The sequence below is a fragment of the Homo sapiens genome, chromosome 2 (assembly GCF_000001405.40).
Source record: "Homo sapiens chromosome 2, GRCh38.p14 Primary Assembly".
In the NCBI taxonomy this organism is placed as follows: domain Eukaryota; kingdom Metazoa; phylum Chordata; class Mammalia; order Primates; family Hominidae; genus Homo; species Homo sapiens.
In genome coordinates, this window is record NC_000002.12 from 57,789,077 (window position 1) to 57,797,299 (window position 8,223).

The following is an 8,223-nucleotide window of genomic DNA, read 5'->3' on the forward strand; positions in this document are numbered from 1 at the left end:
ATAGAATTGTTTGAGCTCCTTATATATTCTGGTTATATATCCCTTGTCAGAGGGGTAGTTTGCAAACATTTTCTCCCATTCTGTGAGTTGTGTCTTCACTTCGTTGATTGTATCCTTTGCTGTGCAGAGACTTTTGAACTTGATGTAATACCATTTGTCCCCTTTTGCTTTGGTTGCCTGTGCTTGTCGGGTACTATTCAGTAAATCTTTGCCCACACCAATGTCCTGGAGATTTTCCCCAGTGTTTTCTCATAGTTGTTTCATGGTTTGAGGTCTTACACTTAAGACTTCAATTCATTTTGATTTTTGTATATGGCAAGAGAGAGTAGGGGTCTAGTTTCATTGTTCTATATATGGACATCCACTTTTTCCAGCACCATTTATTAAAGAGACTGTCTTTTCCTTTCCCCAGTATATGTTCTTGGCACCTTTGTCAAAAATGAGTTCACTGTAGGTGTCTGGGTTTGTTTCTGGGTTTTCTATTCTGTTCTATTAGTCTATGTGTGTTTTTATGCCAACACCATATTGTTAGCATGTAAAAACGCTGCTCATTTTTTATGTTAATTTTGTATACTACAACTTTAGTGAATTTGTTTATTGTTCTAAAAGTTTCCAAATATAAGATTATATCATCTGCAAACAAGCATAATTTGACTTCTTTTCCATTCGGACACCCTTTATACTATTCTCCTGCCTAACTTCTCTAACTAGGACTTCCAGTACTATGTTAAGTAACAATGGTGACAGTGGGTATCTTCATCATGTTCCAGGTCTTAAAGGAAAAGCTTTTAATATTTCCCCAGTATGACACAAGCTGTGGGTCTGTTACATATGACTTTCATATGGTGAGGTATGTTCCTTCTATCCCCAGTTTTTTGAGGGTTTTTAACATTAATGGATTAATTTTATCAAATCCATTTGCAGCGTCAATTGAAATGATCATGTGATTTTTATCTTTCATGTTGATACAATGTATTACACTGATTGATTTGCACAAGTTAAACCATCCTTGCATTTCAGGGATAAATCCCACTTGGTCATGATAAATGATCTTTCTAATGTATTGTTGAATTTGGCTTGCTAGTATTTTGTGGAGAATTTTTGCATCAATATTCAAAGATACTGGTCTGTAGTTTTCTTTGTTTGACGTGTCTTTGCCTGGTTTTGATGTCAGGGTAATACTGGCCTTGTAAAATGCGTTTGGAAGGATTCCCTCCTCCCCTATTTTTTTCAGGATAGTTTGAGTAGAATAGGTATTAATTCTTTAAATGTTTGGTGGAATTCAGCAGTAAGGCCATCAGGTCCCAGGCTTTTCTTTAGTGCGGGACTTTTTATTATGGCATTGATCTCATTACTTGTTATTTGTCTGTTCAGGCTTTGGATTTCTTCCTGGTTCAATCCTTGCAGGTTTTATGTATCTAAAGGTATGCCTGCTTCTTGCAGATTTCCAACTTATTGGTATATACTTGCTGACAGTATTCACTAATGATCCTTTGAATTTCTGCACTATCAGCTGTAATGTCTTCTTTTACATTTCTAATTTATTTATTTTTCTTAGTCTGGCTAAAGATTTGTCAATTTTGTTTAACTTTGCAAAATACCAACATTTTGTTTCATTGATCTCTTGTTTCTTATTTCAATTTCATTTATTTGTGTTTTGATATGTATCATATCTTTTCTACTAATTTTAAATTTGGTTTGCTCTTGCTTTTCTAGTTCTGTAAGATACATCATTATATTTTTTATTTGAAGGTTTTTCTCTTTTTTGATGTAGGCACTTATAGCCATCAACTTCTCTCTTAATACTGCTTTTCCTGCATCTAATAGGTTTTGGTATGCTGTTTCCATTATCATTTGTTTCCAGAATTTTTTCAATTGCACTCTTAATTTCTTAATTGACTCAATGGTCATTCAGGAGCATACTGTTTAATTTTCATGTAATTGTGTAGTTTCCAAAATTCTTCTTGTTATTAATTCCTGGTCTTATTTCATTGTATTCACAGAAGATGCTTAATATTATTTCAATACTTTTGAATGTTTAAGACTTGTTTTGTGACTTAACATATGGTCTATCCTTGAGAATAATCCATGTGCTAAGGAAAAGAATGTGTATTTGTGTATTCTGCAGCTCTTGGATAAGAAAATGTTCTGTAAATATCTTATTAGGTCCATTTAGCCTACAGTGCAGAATAAGGCTGATGTTTCTTTGTTGATTTTCCATTCGGAAGATCTGTCTAATGCTGAAAGTGGGGTGTTGAAGTCTCCATCTGTTACTGTATTGGGGTCTACATCTCTCTTTAGCTTTAATATTTTCTTGATAAATCTGGGTGCTCCAGGGTTGGGTACATACATATTTAAAATTGTTATATCCTGTTGCTAAATTGACACCTGTATCATATTATAATAGTGACCTTCTTTGTCTCTTCTTATAGTTTAGGTCTGGAAATCTATTTTGTCTGACATAGTGATTCCTCCTTTTTTTGGTTTCAATTGGCATGGAATGGCTTTTTTTATCTCTATATCTTTAGTCTACATGTGTCTTTATGGTGAAGAGTGTTTCTTGTAGCAAACAATCAGTCTGGTTTTTTCATCCATTCATCCAGTCTGTGTCTTTTGATTGGACAGTTTCGTCCATTTTCATTCAATGTTTTTATTTATAAGAACTTACTCCCACCATTTTGTTATTTGTCTTCTAGTTGTTTTGTGATCTCCTCTTCTTTCATTCTCATCTTCCCCCAGAGATATTTCATTTCTTGCTTTTTTATTGTGTATCCATTGTATGTTTTTTGATTTGAGGTTTCCATGAGCTTTGCAAATACTCTCTTATAACCCATTATTTTAACCTGATAGCAACTTAACACTATTTGCGTGAACAAACAAGCAAAAAGAAAACTAATAAAAGCCCACCTTAACTTCATTTTCTTGCTTTCTAACTTTTTGTTGTTTCTATTTACATCTTATTTTACTATGTCTTGAAAAATTGTTATTTTTTACTAGATCATTTAGTCTTCCTACTTAGCATAAGAGTAGTTTACACATCACATTACAGTGCTATAATATTCTATGATATTCTGTGTACTTATTGTTACCAGTAAGTTTTATACCTTCAGGTGATTTATTGCTCATTAATATTCTTTCCTTTCTGATTGAAAGAAAAGCATTTCCTCTTTAGCATTTCTTGACGGATGGGTCTGGCATTGATGAAATCCCTCAGCTTTTGATTGTCTGAAAAAGTCTTTATTTCTCCTTGATGTTTGGAGGATATATTCCCCAGATATACTATCATAGAGTAAACGTTTTCTTTTCTTCAGCATGTTAAATAAGGCATGCCACTCTCTCCTGGCCTGTAAGATTTTCACTGAAGAGTCTGCTGTGAGATGTACTGGAGCTCCATTGCATGTTATTTGTATCTTTTCTCTTGCTTCTTTTACAATCCTTTCTTTATCCTTAACCTTTTGGAGTTTAACTATCAAATGCCTTCACTTAGTTTTCTTTGGGTTAAACCTGCTTGGTGTTCTATAACCTTCCTATACTTGGGTATTTATATCTTTCTGTAGGTTTGAGAAGTTCTCTGTTATTATCCCTATTTCTTGAATAAACTTTCTACCCCTATCTCTTTCTTTATCTCTTCTCTAAGGCCAATAACTCTTAGATTTGCCCTTTTGAGTCTATTTTCTAGATCCTGTAGGCATGCTTTGTTCTTTTTTGTCTCCTCTGTGTATTTTCAAATAGCCTGTCTTTAAGCTCACTAATCCTTTCTTCTGCTTGATCCATTCCAGTATTAAAGGACTCTGATGCATTCTTCAGTACGCCAATCGCATTTTTCAGGTCCAGAATTACTGCTGGATTCTTTTCAATTATTTCAATCTCTTTGTTAAATTTATCTGTTAGAATTCTGAATTATTTCTGTTATCTTGAATTTCTTTGAGTTTCCTCAACACAGCTATTTTGTCTGAAAAGTCACACATCTATTTCTCCAGGATTGGTCCCTGGTGCCTTATTTAGTTCATTTGGTGAGGTCACGTCTTCCTGGATAATGCTGGCACTAGTAGATGTTCTTCACTGTCTGAGCATTGAAGAGGTAGGTATTCATTATAGTCTTCACTGTCTGGCCTTATCTGTATCCATTCTTCTTGGGAAAGCTTTCCAGATATTTGAAATGACTTGGGTGTTGTGATTTAAGCTATTTCTGCATTAGGGGGCACCCAAAGCCCAGTCACACTGTGTTCTTGCAGACTCACAGAGGCACCATCTGGAGAGGACAGTCTTGGACAAGATCGAGGAGAATTTTCTGGATTACCAGGTAAAGACTCTTGTTCTCTTCCCTTACTTTCTCCCACACATATAGAGTCTCTCTCTGTTTTGAGTCACCTAAAGCTGGGGGTGGAGTAAACAAGTACCCTTGTGGTCACCACCACTATGACTGCACTGGTTCGGACCTGAAGACAACACAGTGTTGGGTCTCACACATGGCCTGCTGTCACCACTTCCTGGCTACTGCCTATGTTCACTCAAGGCCCTGGGGCTCTTCAATCACCATGTGGCAAAGACAGCCAGGCCTATGTTCTCTCTTTAAGGACAGCAAGGTCCCAAGACCTCAGGTGGGTTCAGAAGTGCCTTCTGGGAGTCAGAGACTAGAGTCAAAAGCCTTAGAAGTTTACCTTGTGTTCTATTATATCGTGGCTAAGCTGGCAAAACACAACACACGGCTCTTCCCACTATTCCCTCCCTTTTCCAAAGGCAGTGGAGCCTCACCTCGTAGCTGCTGACACTCTTGGACATTAGGAGCACTGCCAGACTACTTCCAATGTTCCCTTAAGGGCCAACGTCTCTTAAGTCAGCTTGCAGTAAACGCTGCCTGGCCTGAGATGCTCTCTTTAGTGCAGTGGGCTCCCCTCTGCTCTGGGGGGGTTCAGAAATGCCATCCAAGAGTCAAATCCTTGGATGGGGACCCTGAGTTCTTGGAATCAGGGACCCCAAGAACCTGCTTGGTGCTCTACCCTCCCGTGGCAGTGTTGGTATCTGAAACCAGGAAGTCTCAGAAGCTCACCAAGGCCCTCAATGTAGTGCCTGGGTATCACTGCTGTTTATTCAGGTCCTAAGAACTCTTCAGTTAGCAGATGATGAATGCTGCCAGGTCTGGATCCTTTCCTTCAAGGCAGTAGGTTCCGTTCTGGCCCAGGGTGTGTCTAGAAATGTCATCTGGGAGCTGTAACAGAGGCCTCATGACGCTGACTGATGCCTGATCCTGATATGCCTGAGCTGATATCCAAGATGCAAGACAAGGTCCTCTCCACTCTTTCCTCTCCTCTCTTCGGGTAGATGGGAAGGGTCTCTTTTGGAGCCTTGAGCTGTGCATCCTGGATTTAAAGGAAGGGTGATGCCAGCACTCCCTTGGCTGTCCCAGGTGGTGTCTCAGTATGTCACATGCCCCACCCAGTCCACTGTCACCGGGCCTAGTTCAGCACTGGGACTCTCCCAGGAGTCACAGTTTTTATGGCCTAGACTGCCTTTCAAGTTTAAATGTTCCCTCTGTGAGTGGGCATCAGCTGAGTTTTGTTCAGGTTTTCTTCCAGCTCTAACAAGACAGCACTGAGTTCAATGCCTCATAATTGCTGTTTTCTACCACCTTCAGTGCCCAGAGACACTCTCCACACCACACCACCGCTGCCAGGCATTGGGAAGGGGTGGAAGTGGAGTGGTGTCTGTGGCGATTCGGGACTGTTTTTCTAATCTTTTCAGTGCCCTTTTCAGCAATATGAAGTTAAAAACAGGTACTGTGAGTGCTCATCTGATTTTCAGTTCCTATGAAGTTGTTTTTTTCTATGTAGATAGTTGTTAACTTCATGTCCTTGCAGAGGGAGGAGGTGGCAATCAGTGATGGGTGGGACCTTCTATTCTGCCATCTTGCTCTGCCTCCTCCCTCTGTTGATTTTTAATTTTATGCTTAGTTATTTATTATTACTAAATCAGACAGTCAATTCTATTTTTTATAGTTTTCAGAGATCTTATACTTTTATATCTTTAAATATCTGGAATATATATTAGTATATGATATACAGTAAAACTAGAACAAACCTAATTTAAATTTTTCCACATTTGTTAACCAATTGTCCCTGGGCTACTTAATAGTCCATCATTCCTCCACTTAATTATAATACCAACTCAAAATTTTACATATTTGAAGCTATCTTGATTTTGCTTCTTTTCCATTACTCTTTTGTCAAAATCACACTGCCTTAATTATTGTAGTGTAGGAGAAATTGTCTTTCTTTCCCATCACTAGATTTATGACTCATGACTGAGGCCCCTACAACAAAAGACAGATTAATAAAGAAAAGTATACATATTTATGTAAGTTATGTGACAGAAGCCTTCAGAAACGGAGAACCGAAAAACACAGGTAAACTTGTTTATTTTTATGCTTAGGTTTGATCAAGAGTGGTAAGTAATGGAGAAGTATGATTGGATAAAGAGAATATGAGCGAATAATAATAAACTGGAAGGGACCTCAGCAAGGCCTGTTTGTTCAGATTCTTCTCTGTGTCCTTTGTCTTCAGAGATAAGGACATTCCTTTCCTCCTGGTGTAGGGAGAGTACCTCTCAAATGAGGGTCCTAAGGCCTACTTCAAGGGAAGATCACAAAATTATTTATGGCCTGCTTCAGTAGAGAAGTGCAGGGGGTGGTCAGAGAGATCTTTCTGCTTCTGCTGTTTTCTCAAATGCCAAGGTGCCATATTCTGGGATAGCATGTATTGAAATCCCATCAGTAGTTTTACAACTTACCAAATGATTGTATTAGCTATTTCCCCCAGTTCCTTCTGAGAAGTAAACATTAGATTTAGATTTACTGTGCCAAATTTTTCTAAATAACATTTAAAAAATTTAATTATATCAATTCTGTGAATTAATATGTTAAGAACAGCCATCTTTGAGTACATTTAGTCTTCACTTGATAAAAATTGTCTCAGGTCTCAGCAAACTTTTATCATTTTCATTATATAGTGCCCAAATGGTTTTTCTTCCTGATGTTATATCAAGGTATTTTGCATTTTCATTGTATCTCAAACAGGAATTTTTGTTATATATTTTTCTAAGTTAGAAAGTATGAAAGCAACTCAGCCAAAGAAATTGTTCTAAGAAACCTATTTTAAAATCAATTCTGACACAAAATTCATAAGCAATAAACAAACTATAAACTTTTCACAAGTACAATGAGTAAGTAATAGAGAGCAGACAATGGAAATAACCAAATAAGGAAAAGTACTGTGTAACAAACATATGCATTCCGTAAAAGAGGTAAATTAAATTCTGTCATAGTTTTCCTCTCCTTAAGAGATAATCCAAATGAAATTCAAAATCTATTTTATCAAAAATCAGACAGCACATATATTCAAATTCCCAGAGAAAAATTTAGACTTCAAATTGGATGGTAAGCCATAATGCTCTAGTTTATAATAATCACATTTATAAAGAACAATGTATTAAAATAATCAATTTTCTGGATCACACACTATTAGGAATAACTCTCCTGGCCAGGGAATGGGTTAGTTAGGGGGAAGGCAGGAATGCCCTCCCTCTGTGTAGTATGAATGAGAGCACTATCTCCTAAGGAGAGAGCTTAATTCTCTGGAATTCAGCCCTACTATATAACAGATGTGGGGGTTCCTATGATGCAAATTGCCAGGGAGGATTTAGGCTGGACTAAGAAGACATTCATTATAGAAGAGTCAGATACAATACTTCTTCGGGGATTTGTGAGTAAGCAAATATGCAGAATTACCCGTGGTTGCTGCAATTTTGACCTTAGAAAAATCCACAGTGTGTGTTTCCTAGAAAACAGCCTGGCTTTTCAGAAATCAAAACAGAAATCTAGTGTAAAGATGTGTGCATTTGGTCATTCGTTAAATATACTTACTGATGACCTAAAAGGTTATTTGGAATAATTTCAATCAATCCTGAACCAAAATACAGAAGGATGTAAAGGAATAAATAGCTCAGGTTTGAGAAAGTATTTAATAACTAGAGCAAATGTTGTAAAACTTTAATTTTGAATTCTTTCTGATACAGGTTTATCATTCAATTTTTTTTTCCACATATCAGAAAAGATTCCAGTTGCTCATGCCTTAACAGTATTCTAAATTGAAATAAAATTTAAAAATCTGGGTTAATACTATTAACTGAACATAGAAATAAAATGAAATAATTTCCAGATATTCATTC

General features: G+C 36.9%; 2 annotated features.

The window, feature by feature from the left end:
- Positions 7,359–7,908: an enhancer, noted in NCBI's record as "OCT4-NANOG hESC enhancer chr2:58023570-58024119 (GRCh37/hg19 assembly coordinates)". NCBI's record gives its function as "activates a minimal SCP1, AML or CMV promoter by ChIP-STARR-seq in primed H9 embryonic stem cells {active_cell/tissue: H9 hESC(primed)}" and the evidence as "EXISTENCE:reporter gene assay evidence [ECO:0000049][PMID:30033119]".
- Positions 7,478–7,772: a silencer, noted in NCBI's record as "tiled region #308; HepG2 Repressive non-DNase unmatched - State 24:Quies, and K562 Repressive non-DNase unmatched - State 24:Quies". NCBI's record gives its function as "represses a minimal TATA promoter and a strong SV40 promoter by Sharpr-MPRA in HepG2 and K562 cells {active_cell/tissue: HepG2 | K562}" and the evidence as "EXISTENCE:reporter gene assay evidence [ECO:0000049][PMID:27701403]".